The sequence below is a fragment of the Homo sapiens genome, chromosome 12, assembly GCF_000001405.40.
Source record: "Homo sapiens chromosome 12, GRCh38.p14 Primary Assembly".
Taxonomy (NCBI): domain Eukaryota; kingdom Metazoa; phylum Chordata; class Mammalia; order Primates; family Hominidae; genus Homo; species Homo sapiens.
Window position 1 is genome coordinate 50,083,651 of NC_000012.12, and position 17,718 is coordinate 50,101,368.

Here is a 17,718-nt window from a genome sequence, read left to right on the forward strand (position 1 = left end):
TAGATATTCTCACTAAGTGCCTAAAGCTGAGCTTGGTTTGGGGCCAATTAGGGGATGAGTAAGGAGAAGGTTTGAGTAGGGACACTGTGGTCCCCCTGGGATGGGACAGGCTGACCATTATATCAGGAATAGTTTGAACCACTGGGCAGGGAAAGAGGGAGAAGTCAAAGGCAACAAAGTTCCAAAACAGAATCCCCAATACAAAGGATGCTTTAGAGAGAGAGAGCAGAGTCAAAATTCAAGATAAACTGGAACTTATCATAAAATCTGGAAGCAGGCTGGCACGGTGGCTCATGCCCGTAATCCCAACACTTTGGGAGGCTGAGACAGGTGGATCACTTGCGGCCAGGAGTTCGAGATCAGCCTATGCAACATAGTGAAACCCCCATCCCTATTTTTTTTTTCTTTTTTGAGATGGAGTCTCGCTCTGTCGCCCAGGCTGGAGTGCAGTGGCGCGATCTCGGCTCACTGCAAGCTCCGCCTCCCGGGTTCACACCATTCCCCTGCCTCAGCCTCCCGAGTAGCTGGGACTACAGGCGCCCGCCACCACGCCCGGCTAATTTTTTTGTGTTTTTAGTAGAGACGGGGTTTCACCGTGTTAGCCAGGATGGTCTCGATCTCCTGACCTCATGATCCACCCGCCTGGGCCTCCCAAGTGCTGGGATTACAGGCATGAGCCACCGTGCCCAGCCCCCCATCCCTATTTTTTAATATTTAAAAAAAAAAAAATCTGAGGCCAGGCACAATGGCTCACACCTGTAATCCCAGCATTTTGGGAGGCTGAGGAGCACAGATCGCTTGAGCTCAGGAGTTCGAGACCAACCTGGGCAACATGGCGAAACCCCATCCCTACCAAAAATACAAAACAGTCTGGCATGGTGGTGCATGCCTGTGGTCCCAGCTACTTGGTAGGCTGAGTTGGGAGGATCACTTGAGCCTGGGAGGCGGAGGTTGCAGTGAGCTGAGATGGTGCCACTGCACTCCAGCTTGGGCGAGAGAGAGACAGACCTCATCTAAAAAAAAATAAAAAATAAAAAATAATAATCCGGAAGCAGGTTAGGTCAGAGAGAAAGTTAGGATGAAGTTCCCACGTGAGGTACTTATTGAGGCACTTTATCTGTGGAATGAGTCCCGGGCTATGAGCAAGGGTATCTGGAATCTTGGCTTCGGCTTTATGGCTAACTTGCTGGTTGACCTTTGCCAAGTCATTCACCTGTGAGTTCAGCTTTCCCATTTGTAAAATGGAATAAACTGTGTTTCCCTCCTCAGCCCCTGATAGTTATAGCAGTAAGAAAACGAAACGAAAAGCAGTCAAAGCGTTTTGGAAAGTTAACGCCATGCGCCAAGATGAAGCTATTACTCCAAGCCCCTCTTCATCAGAGGGCTCGAGTTGGGGTTGAGACTGGGGCTGAGGCTGTGGTCCGTCCCCCTTTCCAGGTCCTTGTCTTCCTCCCGTCGGCCTGGGGGCGCCCGCTCACGCGGCCTCTCTATTGCAGAGCTCTTCTCTATGGTTTTCCCTCCCGGACCGTGAAGGCGGGAGGGCGTGGCCAGCACGCCTTTTCCGCTAGTCGCCCCGCTCTATCCCATAGTCTCGCTGCCCTGAGCCTCCCGTGCCGGCCGGCCGGCCGGGGGAACAGGCGGGCGCTCGGGGGGCGCTCGGGGGGCGGGGGGAGTTCCGGTTCCGGTTCTTTGTGCGGCTGCATCGGCGGCTCCGGGAAGATGGCGGCCCGGGCGGGTTTCCAGTCTGTGGCTCCAAGCGGCGGCGCCGGAGCCTCAGGAGGGGCGGGCGCGGCTGCTGCCTTGGGCCCGGGCGGAACTCCGGGGCCTCCTGTGCGAATGGGCCCGGCTCCGGGTCAAGGGCTGTACCGCTCCCCGATGCCCGGAGCGGCCTATCCGGTGAGTGGGGCAGGAGGAGGGGCGCGCGGGCCGGGGGCGGGGCCGAGCGGGGACATGGGAGTGACAGGGGTGGGGGGAGAAGTAGGAGGGACTCCCTTGGGAGGGGTTCGGGCTCTGGGTGGGGGTTGGGGGAGGCAGTGCGCAGAAAGAGAGGGGGAGGCAGTTACACACCTGCTCCTAGGGGCATTGTTTCCCTGGGGAGTCGGTAGAGAACCTGGGTGGGTGAAGTGGGTCCAGGGATACCTGTATGAGGGCCGGAGTGCAAAGGGGCTTGAGCAGCTCCAGTGATCAGAGGAACACAGAACGTGTAGCTGACAAATTGAGGTCAGCTTCTAAAGAGATAGTAGCTAGCAGAGTAAATGTGGAACTGGCGATGTCCGATGTGTCCCATCCAAAATAGACTGAGAATTTGAGTATAATCTGGCTCTCGCTTAGCTTTTGGACTCTGTTTTTCTATGGAGTCACTACTGGAGCAAAGGGTTCTCCTCTCATTGTCCTCCATTCCATCCCTAAACCTTACTTCATTCAAAGATCTCAGGCGTTCCCTGCTTTTCTTTCTTGATGGGGTTTAGCAGGTGAAACCATGACATCTCTGGGTCCTCTCCCCTCTGTAGAGACCAGGTATGTTGCCAGGCAGCCGAATGACACCTCAGGGACCTTCCATGGGACCCCCTGGCTATGGGGGGAACCCTTCAGTCCGACCTGGCCTGGCCCAGTCAGGGATGGATCAGTCCCGCAAGAGACCTGCCCCTCAGCAGATCCAGCAGGTCCAGCAGCAGGCGGTCCAAAATCGAAACCACAAGTAAGATGATCCTGGGGCAGAGGGAGGGAGGGAGGGAGCCTGGGAGGACACAGGTGGTGGGAGTACCTGAACCAAGAAGTGGTGGTGCTGTGTCAGCAGATGGTGCTACAGAACTCATCCTTGAGAATGCTTGGTGGTGGTGGTGGTGGTGGTAGTTCTTTGAGAGAAGCTTTGCAGTCCCTTCACATTACTATAAATGGACGTGCTGACAGCTTATTTTCACGTTCTGACTAGTTCTGTCCCAACCTGATAATAGTATTTATTCCCAACAGTGCAAAGAAAAAGAAGATGGCTGACAAAATTCTACCTCAAAGGGTGAGTCCAGGCTATATGTCTTCTGGAAAGTGTGGTGAGTTTGAGTATAGAGATGATCATCCTAGATTTCAATTAATTTTTCTGTTCCTAAGATTCGTGAACTGGTACCAGAATCCCAGGCCTATATGGATCTCTTGGCTTTTGAAAGGAAACTGGACCAGACTATCATGAGGAAACGGCTAGATATCCAAGAGGCCTTGAAACGTCCCATCAAGGTAACACAGGAAAGTACTAGGCAGAGAGCCAAAGGAGAGGACCCAGGAACCTTCAGCAGAATTAGGATGAGAAATCAAAGGCACAGCACAACTCTCCTTGGCATTTAAATTGCATCTCTCCCTTCCGCCTACAAACTGAGAATTACATTAGGAGGATAAGAACAGAATGGCAAAGGGGGAGGGGCTCTTGATGTCTCTTGCACTACAAATATACCCTTGTCCATGTTTTCGCTGTAACTGCTCTGCTACCTTGGGAACCTGGCACCTTGCATGACTTTGTCCACCTGGCATCCCACTATATGCACTTGTACTTAGGCTGATGGCCAGTACTCCTCTTCTAAATGGAATCTTCATCCACCCACCCAAGGGACTGGGTAGACAGTAAGCCAGTCTGTTAGGAGTAATTTTGGGGTTTGGGGAGACCGTTGTCTTCAACATCAGACCACTGAAGCCCCACGATCAATCCTGTTTCTGCCTTCCTCAGCAAAAACGGAAGCTGCGAATTTTCATTTCTAACACTTTCAATCCGGCTAAGTCAGATGCCGAGGATGGGGAAGGGACGGTGGCTTCCTGGGAGCTTCGGGTAGAAGGACGGCTCCTGGAGGATGTGAGTTCAAGGTCCACAATGGTTGGCATCTAGGGTGGGAGCTGCTGGGAATGAACAGTGTTGTCTGGTCAGCAGGAAGCCTAACTGGTGCTCACAGCTCCTTTTGGGAGCAGTAAGGAGAGGGACACTGTTCCCTGCACTGAAAGACAGTGGTCCTTTGTGTTTGCCCCCACACCTTTGGCCCTCACTGGTATCATATGGAGAACCTTATTGTCCTGGGATCTGATTTGTGGTTTACCTTCCTCTTGGTGCTGCTGGCCATTGGATTTAGCCATATCTGTAGATTATTTAGTTTTTTTTTTTTAATCGAGTTTGCACTTAATTTGAGGCTGTGTTTCCTCTCTGAGTCCTTGTGGTATCTCCATCTTCTCAACTTTCACTGGAGGCACCCCACAGTTTAAGTAGGATAGATTTCTCTTGACAGGCTCTTTGTTGCTTCCTGGGGAGCATCAGCTGACAGGTGATAGTCCCCAAACTTCCCACCCCAGAAGCTCCTCGGGGAAGCTCACCTTTCTCTCATTCCCTTACATTCTCTGGCTCTTATTTTTAGCTGCTCGCAGGCAAGCTAGTTGGAATGCACTTTTGCAGGAGAACCAGGGCTCAGTGTCAGAGCCTCCTTCTCTATATAGGTCCGGTCCATCTGCTGGTGGTGTCATTCTGTCCAAATAAAGCTGTTTTTGTTCTGGCTGCTTATTGCCTGTGATTCATTTCCCCTCTAGAGTCAGACTTTTCTCTGTTCAAACTCGCTTAGTTATGTGCAATGGTTTGCTTAACTTGCCTCATTTCCCTTGGGCAAATGAGATGGGTAAAACAGTGACCCTCTATGTGTTCTAGGCTGCTTCTTCAGGGTTCTGTTGCTACTATGATTGGTTTAATACCTGCAGATGCCTACTTTGCCTATCTCTCTTAAGAGATATTCAGAAGATATTTTTTGAGTTTTTTTCCATTGTTGTTGGGGTTCCTTTTTCATAGGATTTTGTCTTGGGAAGTTTCTTCTGGCCTTTCCTAATGTGATTTTTATTTTCTCTCCTCTAGTCAGCCTTGTCCAAATATGATGCCACTAAACAAAAGAGGAAGTTCTCTTCCTTTTTTAAGTCCTTGGTGATTGAACTGGACAAAGACCTGTATGGGCCAGACAACCATCTGGTAGAAGTGAGTAGCTCTGCCTTCTAGGCTTTGACTCTGATTGGAGGATGATGGACTTGGGAGCCGTATTTTAATGTCTAAGGAGATGGGGAGGTATAAAGTAGTCACTCTAGGTGTACACAGTACCGCTCCAGGTGTACAGTTTGCACATTGACCTCTAGGTGGCACTAGCATGTTTAGTTAGGACCAAGGGCTCTTGTAACCTAACTTGTCCCATCTTTTTAATGTTACTATCCTGGTCACTGCCACCTCTTTCAAGGGAAAGTCTACTGGTGGCCTCTTGTATGTGCCAGGCCATCTCTGTATCTTGCTTGTTAATAATGGTGAGATGTAGTTATCCATTTTTCCTGGCAGCAGTTGCTGTAATTAGAGTGATTGACTGATAGGGTACTAGTACTTGCCAAGGTTACCATTATAGATCTGGGACTTCCTCTTGGTCTCTGCTCTGTTTACATTTACATTCCAATTCACCAAAAATCCTTTATTATGATGCCTGATTGCACAACGTTTTGAAGCCCATGTTAGCAACAGTATTCTTTGGGAAACAGGCAAAACCAGAATGACAGTCCAGCCAGCACTCCAAGTGAACCTAACCTGCTCCTTTCTTTGCCAGTGTAGCTGCAGCCCCTTAACCTCAACCACTAAGAGACATGGGGAGGTCTTTACCATCTAATAAGGGAAGTAAGTCATAGAATCAATAGAAACTTGTAAATATATTTAATTTTATAGCAGTAGAGTATAGTGGCTAAGAATGTGGACTGTAGAATCAGACACATCAGAGCTCAAATGGTGGCTCCGCCACTTACTGGCTGTTTGACCTAGGCAAGTTACTTTATTATGCTGAGCATTAGTTTTCTCATCTGTAAAATAAGTATAATTGTGCCTATCTTGTATAGATGTTCGGGAAGTGAGATAATCCAGGTAAATGTCTTAGAATACTGTCACACATAGTAAGTACTCAGTAAATGATAGCTATGTTACTGTTCACATGTGTATTATCCATTTTGTGGATAAAATTATCACTGGACATTGAGGCTTATTTAAATCAACCACAAACAATTAAAAGGTTAATCTACTTATACACAGACAGTAATCCCAAAGCCATATGCAGTTTTTTAAAATGCCTCATGCTATTACTCTTCTCCAGTAGCCTCAGTAATCAAAGTTGAATATTCAGTCATTACAGAAGCTCTTCCCTCCCACCCCAGCTCTTCCTCTGGGAGAGCACCCCCTGACATCTTCCTCTCTGTAGTGGCACAGGACCGCCACTACCCAGGAGACCGATGGCTTTCAGGTGAAGCGGCCGGGAGACGTGAATGTACGGTGTACTGTCCTACTGATGCTGGATTACCAGGTATTCTGTGGTGGTGTGAGGGGGTCCAGCTTTCACAGCCACATACCGTCAGCAGTCTCACTTTAAAGAGTTTATGTCTAGTTGTGAATAATTTGCCACTTTGGCACAGAGATAGAGTCTTAGTCATCTCTGAGTTCTTCCTAGAATTTTTCTGTCCCAGAAAAAGCACTACATTATTTGTTGAATAGCTTGAATGTATTGCTGCATATAGACGCAGCTAACTAGCTTCATCCCCTATACTTTGGTTCCCTGCAGCCTCCCCAGTTTAAATTAGACCCCCGCCTAGCTCGACTCCTGGGCATCCATACCCAGACTCGTCCAGTGATCATCCAAGCACTGTGGCAATATATTAAGACACATAAGCTCCAGGACCCTCACGAGCGGGAGTTTGTCATCTGTGACAAGTACCTGCAGCAGGTAAGTAATGGACCCATTCTTTTGCTAGAATCCATTAGAACACTAGTTATGCTCAAACTGCTAACCTCGTGCTTCTCCCCTTTGCTACAGATCTTTGAGTCTCAACGTATGAAGTTTTCAGAGATCCCTCAGCGGCTCCATGCCTTGCTTATGCCACCAGAACCTATCATCATTAATCATGTCATCAGGTAGGCCTGTGTGTGGGAGGCAGTGCTGTGCCGGAGCTGCCTTGTGCCGATTTGCACAAGCCAGTTGTCAAATTTTCAGGAATTTTGCAAACAGGTTGTTAAACACAACTGTTACACTGTTACTTACAATTAAATTACATAAACTTATAATTAAATATATTAGACTAAAAGTGGGTAACATATATTCAAAATGTATAACTTCCTAATTATTACATTTTATTGTATTTGTGCTTTTTTTTTTTTTTTTTTTTGGAGACAGAGTCTCACTCTGTTGCCCAGGCTGGAGTCCAGTGGCGCGATCTCGGCTCACTGCAAGCTCCGCCTCCTGGGTTCACGCCATTCTCCTGCCTCAGCCTCCCGAGTAGCCGGGACTACAGGCACCCGTCACCACACCTGGCTAATTTTTTGTATTTTTAGTAGAGATGGGGTTTCACCATGTTAGCCAGGATGGTCTCAATCTGACCTCGTGATCTGCCCGCCGAGCCTCGTGATCTGCCCGCCTCGGCCTCCCAAAGTGCTCGGATTACAGGCATGAGCCACCGCGCCCAGCCTGTATTTGTGCTCTTGAGGTTATTTTTGCCTGTTGTATCCATCTGGCGGAAATATGATATAATGATGTGCTTATGTGTTACTGTGCATCTCTTCCCATGAACAGTAATGTAATGTTGGTAGCTTGAAATCAGAATTTTTTTTTTTTTTTTTGGGATGGAGTTTCACTCTTGTTATGCAGGCTGGAGTGCAATGGCACAATGTTGGCTCACCGTAACCTCTGCCTACTGGGTTCAAGTGATTCTCCTGCCGTAGCCTCCCACATAGCTGGGATTACAGGCATGTGCCACCATGCCTGGCTAATTTTGTATTTTTAGTAGAGACAAGGTTTCTCCATGTTGGTCAGGCTGGTCTTGAACTCCCGACCTCAGGTGATCCACCCGCCTTGGCTTCCCAAAGTGCTGGGACTACAGGCGTGAGCCACCGCGCCCGGCCTTTTGTTTTGTTTTGTTTTGAGATGTAGTTTTGCTCTTGTTGCCCAGGCTGGTGTGCAATGGCATGATCTCAGCTCACTGAAACCTCCGCCACCTGAGTTCAAGCAATTCTCCCTCCCCAGCCTCCCACGTCGCTGGGATTACAGGCACCTGCTACCATGCCCAGCTAATTTTTTTATATTTTTAGTAGAGACGGGGCTTCACCATGTTTGCCAGGCTGATCTCAAACTCCTGACCTCAGGTGATCCGCCCACCTGGCCTCCCAAAGTGCTGGGATTACAGGTGTGAGCCACTGCGCCCGGCTGAAATCAGAATATTTAAAGCCCAAAGATCAGCAAATGCCACACATCTGGGCACTTCCTCCCACTCTCCTTTGGAAGATCAGTTGTTAAACATCTACCAGCTCTTCACTCATGGAAGGGCTCAGCAGCCATCTTTTCTCTGGATGGTACAGCATTCTAGTCCGAGCCTCCCAATTCCATTACCTCTGTTCACTTTTTTGTTTAGAAGCTGGAGAGCAAGGCATCTCTAGATAGGGGGTGAAGAAAATTTCCTTCTCAAAGCAGCGTGTCTCTGTAGTTGGATATAGTCTCTTTGTCTTCCTTCCTTTATTCCATATTAATTCTGGTAAGGGCTTTCTTTTCTTTTCTTTTCTTTCTTTCTTTTTTTTTTTTTTTTTTTTTTGAGACAGACAGAATCTCACTCTGTTGCACAATCTCGGCTCACTGCAACCTCTGCCTCCTGGGTTCAAGCGATTCTCCTGCCTCAGCCTCCCAAGTAGTTGGGATTACAGGCGCATGCCACCACGCCCAGCTAATTTTTTGTATTTTAGTAGAGACGGGGTTTTACCATGTTGGCCAGGATGGTCTCGATCTCTTGGTCACGTGATCCACCCGCCTCGGCCTCCCAAAGTGCTGGGATTACAGGTGTGAGCCACCACACCCGGTGGGCTTTTTTTTTTTTTTTCTTTTGACCCTGAACCTACAAGATGACAGAGAGGGAGGGGAAAAAAAGAAAAAAGATAAGACCCTGAACCTTCACTTACACAGTAGTAACTCCTCAACCTATAAATTAGGTCAGTAGAAGTTGGTCTGTCCTATATTCCTATGCTTAAAGTTAGACCACTTTTAATTTTGTGTTTGACTTTATTTTTGGGGTCAATTTTAGTTTAAAAGGGAGAAAGCCAGGCACGGTGGCACATTCCTGTAGACCCAGCTACTCCAGAGGCTGAGGTGGGTAGATCACTTGAGTCCTGGAGTTCGAGTCCAGCCTGGGCAACAGAGTAAAATCCTGTCTCTGAAACAATAAAAAAAGATTTGTTTGGCTGGGCGCAGTGGCTCACGTCTGTAATCCCAGCACTTTGGGAGGCCAAGGTGGGTGGATCACAAGGTCAGGAGTTCAAGACCAGTCTGGCTAATATGGTGAAACCCCATCTCTACTAAAAATACAAAAATTAGCTGGGCATGGTGGTGGGCGCCTGTAGTCCCAGCTACTTGGGAGGCTGAGGCAGGAGAATCACTTGAACCGGGGAGGCAGAGGTTGCAGTGAGCCAAGACTGCGCCACTGCACTCCAGCATAGACAACAGAGCAAGACTCCATCTAAAAAAAAAAAGAAAGGCTTCGTTTGTTTAAACATACAGAGTCTTGCTCTGTCATCCAGGCTGGAGTGCAGTGGCATGATCTTCGCTCTCTGCAACCGCTGCCTCCCAGGTTCAAGCAATTCTCGTGCCTCAGCCTCCCAAGTAGTTGTAATTACAGGCGTGCACCACTTTTTGTATTGAGGTTTCGCCATGTTGGCCACACTAGCGTTGAATTCCTGGCCTTGAGTGATCTGCCCGTGTTGGCTTCCCAGAATGCTGGGATTACAGGTGTGAGCCACCGCACCTGGCCAAAAAAGTTTTAAAAATTATTATTATTATTTCTTTTTTGAGACAGAGTCTCTCTCTGTTGCCCAGGCTGGAGTGCAGTGGTGTAATCATGGCTCACTGCATCCTCGACCTCCTGGGCTCAAGTGATCCTCCCACCTCGCCTCCTGAGCAGCTGGGACCACAGATGTGTGCCACCACGCCCAGGAATTGTTTTGAAATTTTTTGTAGAAACTGGGGTCTGTGTGGTGTAGGCTGGTCTCAAACTCGTGGGCTCAAGCAGTCCTCTTACCTGAGCCTCCCAAAGTGTTAGGATTACAGGCATGAGCCACCATGGCTCGCCGAATTTTTTTTATTTTTAGAGATCGTCTCACTCTGTCACCCAGGCTGAAGTATAGTGGCATGAACTTGGCTCACTATATCCTCTGCCTCCCGGGTTCAAGAGATTCTCCTGCCTCAGCTTCCCCAGTAGCTGGGATTACAGGCGTGAGCTACCACGTCCGGCTAGTTTTTAGTAGAAATGGGGTTTCACCATGTTCCTGACCTCAGGTGATCGCCCACCTTGGCCTCCCAAAGTGCTGGGATTACAGGCATAAGCCACCACGCCTGGCTGCCAAATATTTTTTTTAAAGGGAGAAAGATATATAGGAGACTGTAGCAGTGATTTCCTCTGGAGAGAAAGGAACTACTTTTCACAGGATACCTTTTGTACTGCTTGAATTTTTACCATTGACTTTTTAAATAAATCAACTTTATTGAAGTATAATTTATATATAACAAATTATACCAATTGAAAGTGTAGTTTGAAGATTTTTGCCAGATCTGTACACCATGTAGCTGCCACAATAAAGTGTAGAACATTTCTGTCACACCCGAAAGTTCTCGGGCCCTTTTACAGTTAGCCCCTTTTCTCTTCATCCTGGGTCATCTTTTTGACCCTGTGTAATTAGGTCTTAGGGGACAAGCTCTTTACCAGGCTCCTTTGGTTTCCTGTCCAGTGTTGACCCGAATGATCAGAAAAAGACAGCTTGTTATGACATTGATGTTGAAGTGGATGACACCTTGAAGACCCAGATGAATTCTTTTCTGCTGTCCACTGCCAGCCAACAGGAGATTGCTACTCTAGACAACAAGGTAGGGGTCTGTGCCCTGGATAGTTGGGTACCACCAGCCCCTATCACAGCTTCAAGGCCTCCTTTTGATTCTTAGTGTTCATTCAAAATACGGTGACACCCAGTATATGTCAGGTACTGTGCTTGGTGCTGGTTTGAGCCAGACTCAAATGAATTCTGATTGTGGGGATACTCTCAACAGCACTGAGCCTCGGTTTCTGATTTGTGGAATAGAGACCATAGTACCTTTTTTTTCCTTTTTTCTTTTCAGGAGTCTCGCTCTCTCGCCCAGGCTGGAGTGCAGTGGTGCAATCCCGCCTCACGGCAACCTCCACTTCCTGGGTTCAAGCGATTCTCCTGCCTCAGCCTCCCAAGTAGCTGGGATTACAGTCACCCACCATCACACCCGGCTGATTTTTGTATTTTTAGTAGAGACGAGGTTTCACCATGTTGGCCAGGCTGGTCTCCAACTCCTGACCTCAAGTGATCTGCCCGCCTCAGCCTCCCAAAGTACTGGGATTACAGGCGTGAGCCACCACGCCCAGCCCATAGTACCTATTTTAATCAGGTTGCTATGACGATTAAATGAGGGAGTGTGTGTAAAGACTTGAGACTGTATCTGGCACATAAAAACAACAAATGGTAACTTCTGCTACTATTATTGTTATCTGGGTTGTTATTACTAGACGCAGTCCTTGCAAATAAAGCCAAAAGTGCTTTGGGAACATGAAGGAGAAAGGGAGGCTTTGCTGGAAGAGTTGATGCCCCAACTAAATCTTTTCTTTTTTTTTTTTGAGATGGAGTCTTGCTCTGCCGCTCAGGCTGGAGTGCAATGGCATGATCTTGGCTCACTACGACCTCCGCCTCCTGGGTTCAAGCAATTCTCCTGTCTCAGCCTCCTGAGTAGCTGGGACTACAGGCACCTGCCACTACGCCCGGCTAATTTTTGTATTTTTAGTAGAGACGGAGTTTCACCATATTGGTCAGGCTGGTCTTGAACTCCTGACCTCAGGTGATCCACCCGCTTCGGCCTCCCAAAGTGCTGGGATCACAGGCGTGAGCCACCGCGCCCGGCCCCAACTAAATCTTGAAGGACAAAGTGGGTGTTAATGAAAGGGCAAAAAGGATAGTAGTGCTGGGGGCATAGGAGGCAGAAGACGTTCCAGAAAGAGGGAATAGGGCATGTAAAGGTCCAGAGAAGAGAGAGAGAGCCTGGTGTCTTAAAGAAGTACGAGCCATTTAGTATGCTAGATGCAGCATAGAGTGCCGAGGACGGGATGTTTTGGGAAGGAAAGCTAGATAGGGAGCCAGATGCCTAATTATGAAGAACCTTTGATTCAGGGAAAACTGGTTTATGTTTCATCCCGAAGACTGTGTAAGACAGCTGGTTGAGAGATCATTACCAGTGGAGGGACTGATGCTATTTGTATATAGAATGATCACTTGCAGGAAGGTGGATGGAGAATAATTTGTCAAGAGGGCAGGGCTGGAGGCAGGAAGCCCAGTTAGGAGGCTGGTGCAGTAATCCATGTGAGACGTGTTGAGGCCCTAAATTTACAGTCCCGACAGTGAGGGTGGAGATAAGTAGATAGATTTGAGAGGTGTCAAGGTGGAATTGAAGGAATTTGGCCACTGTTTGGATTATTAGAGTGAGGGATGAATGAGAAGGAAATGTTATGATGCCTCCCAGGTCTCTAGCTTGGGTGGACAGTAGTATTTACTATGACTGGGAAGAGGGGAGGAGGAGGAGCAGGTATTGGAGAAACGGTAGTGAGTTTAATGTCAAGTTTAAGCAGTTGGATTGGTTGGAGTATAGAAGATAGACTCTGGGCTGCAGACTGGGGACTCATTACCCTGTCACTGGTAATGGAAGATATACAAGTCAAAGAAATTGCCGGGAGGAGTATGCAGAATGAGAAGAGAGTTGAGAACAAAACCCAGAGATGAGAGCTTATGAGACAGCCCCATATGCCAGTCCTTTTCTTCCTGAGAACACTTTTGGACCCATTTGTGCTGTGGAGTAAGTATTCATCATGTAGCTTTGCCCATAGTGGGCAATGTGGAGACCAAAAGGAAAGCTTTCCTCACATGGGGTATACAGAGAGACAGAAACAAGGGCAAATTACTTGCTGAAAGAATGCCAAGGGTCGGAGCAGTTGGAGCTCTATATGATGGTGCCAGCTGTGGGCAGCATGGTGACTAGGTTGGAAGTGGCATGTGGAGTTGTCAGGCACCACCTGCCATTTAACTTCTCATTTTTCTAGTTTGAAAATGGTATGAGCTTCGTTCTTCCTTTCAGATCCATGAGACAATAGAAACCATCAACCAGCTGAAGACTCAGCGGGAGTTCATGCTGAGCTTTGCCAGAGACCCTCAGGGTTTCATCAATGACTGGCTTCAGTCCCAGTGCAGGGACCTCAAGGTAAAGAACCTAGGAGAGGTCTGAAGGGACTTAGGTCAGTGAGGTGCACAGCTGCTTTATTCATGTAGCAGCTGGTAGGAGACCCAGAGGAAGGAGTGAGGGGCCAGATTTTTCTTTAGCATGTTCCAGGGTCCATTTTGCAATTAAGCAGGGAAATGGGGGCAGAGCCATCAAGTGTTGATTTAGTGCTTACTTTGTCTGTCACTGTGCTTCATCTTGTCAGGGATACAGAGTGGAAGACCTGATCTCTGCTTTCAAAGCAGCCTACATTCTGTCTGAAGAAACTAGGCTAGTATAGCCGGGCATGGTGGCTCACACCTGTAATCCCAGCACTTTGGGAGGCCGAGGCCGACGGATCGCTTGAGGTCAGGAGTTTGAGACCAGCCTGGCCAACATGGCGAAACCCCGTCTCCACTAAAAATACAAAAACTTAGCTGGGCGTGGTGGTGCGCGCCTGTAATCCCAGCTACTTGGGAGGCTAAGGCAGGAGAATTGCTTGAACCCAGGAAGCAGAGGTTGCAGTGAGCCAAGATCGTGCCGCTGCACTCCAGCCTGGGTGACAGAGCGAAACTCTGTCTCAAAAAAAAGAAACTAGGCTAGTATGATACAAAGTAGTAAACCACATAAGACATTATCAGGCCAGGTGCGGTGGCTCACGCCTGTAATCCCAGCACTTTGGGAGGCTGAGGAGGGCAGATCACCTGAGGTCAGGAGTTTGAGACTAGCCTGGCCAACATGGTGAAACCCCATCTCTACTAAAATAAAAAAATCAGCCAGGCGTGGTGGCGGGTGCCTGTAATCCCAGCTACCCAGGAGGCTGAGGCAGGAGAATCGCTTGAACCTGGGAGGTAGAGGCTGCAGTGAGCCGAGATTGCGCCACTGCACTCCCAGCCTGGCTGACAGAGTGAGACTCCATCTCAAAAAAAAAAAAAAAAAAAAAGACATTATTAGACTGACCAGGACCAATAAGATGATTCAGATAAGGGAGATCAGTGAGACTAGAATCTCTGGGGAAGGCTTCATGGAAAATTTGGGATTTGAAGACGTTCCCAGAAAGGGGAGCACAGTAAGCTCAGACAAGAAGATAGGAATGGGCACAGAGTATGAACTCATCCGTTGTCACCCCTCCTGTGCTGACTGTGACGAGTTAGAGAGGCTGAGCAGAGGAGCAAGGAAAAAGGGATGCCAGGAAAGATCCCTGAACAAGGCAACGACTTGTTGATTGCAGAGGTGACTGGGTGTTGTATCAGTTTGCTGAGGCTGCTGTAGCAAACTACCACAAACTGGGCAGTTTCAAACAACAGGCTTGTCTCACAGTTGTGGAGGCTGGAAGTCCAAAATCAGTGTGGGCAGCACTGCTTCCTTCCGCGAGCTGGGAGGGAGACTCTGTTCTGTGCATCTCTCAGCTTCTGGTACCTCAGGCATTCCTTGGCTTGTAGGTGGTGGTCTCTGTGTGACTTCACGTTGTCTTCCTTCTGTATGTGTCTGTCTCCATGTCTAAATTTCCCCTCTTTATAAGGGAACCTACCGGTCATATTAGGGGGTACTCTAATGACCTCATCTTAACTTGAGCATCTGTAGAGACCCTATTTCCAAATAAGGTCACATTCACAGGTACTAGGGGTTGGTTAGACTTCAACATTTTGGGGAAGGATACAATTTACCCAATAATGGGTGTGAAGGAAGGAAACAAGCCTTTTCTCCTCTCTCTTCCTCCACCCTGCATCTCCATTTCCCTCAGACAATGACTGATGTGGTGGGTAACCCAGAGGAGGAGCGCCGAGCTGAGTTCTACTTCCAGCCCTGGGCTCAGGAGGCTGTGTGCCGATACTTCTACTCCAAGGTAAGTACATGGGGTGCACGGGGGAAATTGACAAAAGGCACGGGGTTTTCACCCCTGATGGGGGTCAGTGGTGTTAGATACCAACTTCTGGTTTGTCTCATCTTCCACTCCCTTCACTATTTTCTCCTTAGGTGCAGCAGAGACGACAAGAATTAGAGCAAGCCCTGGGAATCCGGAATACATAGGGCCTCTCCCACAGCCCTGATTCGACTGCACCAATTCTTGATTTGGGCCCTGTGCTGCCTGCCTCATAGTATCTGCCTTGGTCTTGCTTGGGGCGTTCCAGGGGATGCTGTTGGTTCAAGGACAACACCAGAATGAAGAGGGTCTCACAAGACACCTGTTATCCTCTTCTTTCACCCTATCTCTTCCCACCCCCAGCTTCCCTTTGCCCCACAAAGTTCCCATGTGCCTGTACCCTCCCCTGGTCTACATAGGACCTCTAGATAGTGTTAGAGAGAGAACATGTAGTGGTAATGAGTGCTTGGAATGGATTGGGCCTCAGGCCAGGTGGTCTTCAAGGGGACCAGCTAACTGATCCTGCCCTTCAGAGACCCAGGAGTTGGGAGCTTTCGCTCCTTCTCCAAGACTCAGGCCTGTGGGCACTCTATAAGCTAGTTGATCTTGGCTCTCCTGATAACAGAATCCAATTTCCTTCCTTCCCTCCACAGGTTTGGAACAAACTCTCCCTTCACTTGTTGCCCTGTAGCACTACAGAAACCCTGGTTCTTGGGCTCCACTGAGCCCCAGGTCAGTCCCCAGCCCTCTGGGTTGGCCTGCTGTCAGTGCTTCTCTCACTCCTTAGTTGGGGTCCACATCAGTATTGGAGTTTTGTTCTTTATTGCTCCCTCCCAGACACTCCCTGTGGCTGCCCTTTGTGATTCCCTCAGATCTGCCCTAATCCCGGGCATTTGGGTGGGGGAATCTTGCCTTTCCCTTTCAGAGCCCCAGGGATCTCATCTGGGGAACTGTCATTGCCAGCAGAGGCTGTTCCTTCCTGCTGTTTGGAGATGTGACTCATTCATTCACTCACTCCACCCTGCCTCTGCATCCCTTAATGGAGAAACGGGCCTAAAACCAAACGGGTAAAAAGCCCTGGGCCATCCCTGTCTTCCTGTCCCTTGTCTGCCCAGTTGACACCTACTGGTGACTTCTAGGGCACTGAGGAGTGAAAGCGCCTAGGGCTGGAGAATAGCGCTGAGTTGGGTTTGTGACTCTTCCCTCTCCCTGCCTCACAGGATTGTGACTCCCCAGCCCCTGCCCTCAAAGCTTCAGACCCCTCAGGTAGCAGCAGGACCTTGTGATCTTGGCCCCTTGGATCTGAGATGGTTTTTGCATCTTTCCAGGAGAGCCTCACATTCTTCTTCCAGGTTGTATCACCCCCGAGTTAGCATATCCCAGGCTCGCAGACTCAACACAGCAAGGGTGGGAGACAGCTGGGCACAAAGGGGGAATTCCGTTCAGCATGGGCTCTAAACCCACAGAACTGACAAAGCCCCTGCTTCCCCACCCCCTCCTCAGGCTCCTGCGAGCACACCCCCACCCCCAAATCCCTCCCTGTTCTACACTGGGGACAGCAGAATTTTCTCCCCGTCTTCCCCTTCCTGCCATTTTCCCTCCCTTGAAAGGTTGACACTGGACAACCTTGGGGCAGCTGAGCCCTGGCCGCCTCCTGGCTGGAACCATGAGAAGGAAGCTCAGTACTTCCCACAGTGTCCCTGTTGATAACTGTTTTTATTAACTGAATTGTTTTTTTCATGGACCAAACTTTTTTTTGTACTGTCCCCTTATTGATGTTACCCAGTTTTAATAAAAGAATCTTCTGAAGGATGGGTCCTCCTACCTACTGTGAGAGAGCTCTTCCCTGAGCTCTTCTTCCTTCAATACCATTAGCCACGCTTGTAGTGTTTGTTCATTTTATTTGACAAGTATTTATTGAGCACCTGCTATGTGCTAGTTGTGATGCTAGACACGGGAGATAAAGTGGAAAATGAGATTTCTACTTTTGTGGACCTCAGGGTCTTACCTTAAGAGATTGCTGTCTGCCCCAGTGGTCCAAGCAGCCTAGTTGCTGGTTGGGATTATTGGGCTTCACCACTGGATCTTAAGAGCCCTTTCCCGACTTGCTAGGCAGGTACTAACAGGTTGGTGGCAGTCATTTTCCCCCTTGTCCATCTGAGCTCCCCAGAGCACTTGTTGGCTGGAGTGAGCCATAGATGCCCGTGATCCCTTAGGTTTGACGAACCTGAGCCGCCTTTGGAGGAGTTTCACTTCTTCCCCAGGGCTTCTGTTTAGATGTGGGCAGGATCTGGACGACCAAAGACATTTTTGCTTTTTGTGCCTGCTACTCTTTTTTTTTTTTTTTTTTTAGACGGAGTCTCACTGTTGCCCAGGCTGGAGTGCAGTAGCGCGATCTTGGCTCACTGCAAGCTCTGCCTCCTGGGTTCACGCCATTCTCCTGCCTCAGCCTCCCGAGTAGCTGGGACTACAGGCGCCTGCCACCATGCCCGGCTAATTTTTTGTATTTTTTAGTAGAGACAGGGTTTCACCGTG

General features: G+C 48.8%; 1 protein-coding gene across 11 annotated transcripts, besides 4 other annotated features; it reads left to right on the forward strand.

Annotated features, from left to right (window-relative positions):
* Nucleotides 185-917: an enhancer, noted in NCBI's record as "H3K27ac-H3K4me1 hESC enhancer chr12:50477618-50478350 (GRCh37/hg19 assembly coordinates)". NCBI's record gives its function as "activates a minimal SCP1, AML or CMV promoter by ChIP-STARR-seq in primed H9 embryonic stem cells {active_cell/tissue: H9 hESC(primed)}" and the evidence as "EXISTENCE:reporter gene assay evidence [ECO:0000049][PMID:30033119]".
* Nucleotides 1,275-1,534: an enhancer, noted in NCBI's record as "active region_6342". NCBI's record gives its function as "activates an Ori minimal core promoter by ATAC-STARR-seq in GM12878 lymphoblastoid cells {active_cell/tissue: GM12878}" and the evidence as "EXISTENCE:reporter gene assay evidence [ECO:0000049][PMID:35858748]".
* Nucleotides 1,605-2,044: a silencer, noted in NCBI's record as "silent region_4446". NCBI's record gives its function as "represses an Ori minimal core promoter by ATAC-STARR-seq in GM12878 lymphoblastoid cells {active_cell/tissue: GM12878}" and the evidence as "EXISTENCE:reporter gene assay evidence [ECO:0000049][PMID:35858748]".
* SMARCD1 (SWI/SNF related BAF chromatin remodeling complex subunit D1) lies at nucleotides 1,692-17,057 on the forward strand. Of its 11 annotated transcripts, none has more exons than XR_944683.3 (14): nucleotides 1,692-1,896; nucleotides 2,511-2,698; nucleotides 2,971-3,013; nucleotides 3,106-3,228; nucleotides 3,713-3,835; nucleotides 4,871-4,987; nucleotides 6,234-6,335; nucleotides 6,591-6,752; nucleotides 6,843-6,940; nucleotides 10,787-10,922; nucleotides 13,200-13,322; nucleotides 15,064-15,165; nucleotides 15,297-16,250; nucleotides 16,404-16,992. XR_944683.3 is itself a non-coding variant. In NM_003076.5 (13 exons), the coding sequence occupies exons 1-13, from the start codon at nucleotides 1,720-1,722 to the stop codon at nucleotides 15,348-15,350; spliced, it is 1,548 nt and encodes a 515-aa protein (NP_003067.3). In that variant the 5' UTR covers nucleotides 1,692-1,719; the 3' UTR covers nucleotides 15,351-17,057. The 11 variants fall into 11 exon arrangements, 5 of the variants coding, with proteins under 5 accessions (NP_003067.3, NP_620710.2, XP_005269164.2 ...); XR_944684.3 differs by having other exon boundaries at nucleotides 15,297-15,915; XR_007063120.1 differs by lacking the exon at nucleotides 13,200-13,322 and having other exon boundaries at nucleotides 15,297-15,915.
* Nucleotides 2,384-3,115: an enhancer, noted in NCBI's record as "H3K4me1 hESC enhancer chr12:50479817-50480548 (GRCh37/hg19 assembly coordinates)". NCBI's record gives its function as "activates a minimal SCP1, AML or CMV promoter by ChIP-STARR-seq in primed H9 embryonic stem cells {active_cell/tissue: H9 hESC(primed)}" and the evidence as "EXISTENCE:reporter gene assay evidence [ECO:0000049][PMID:30033119]".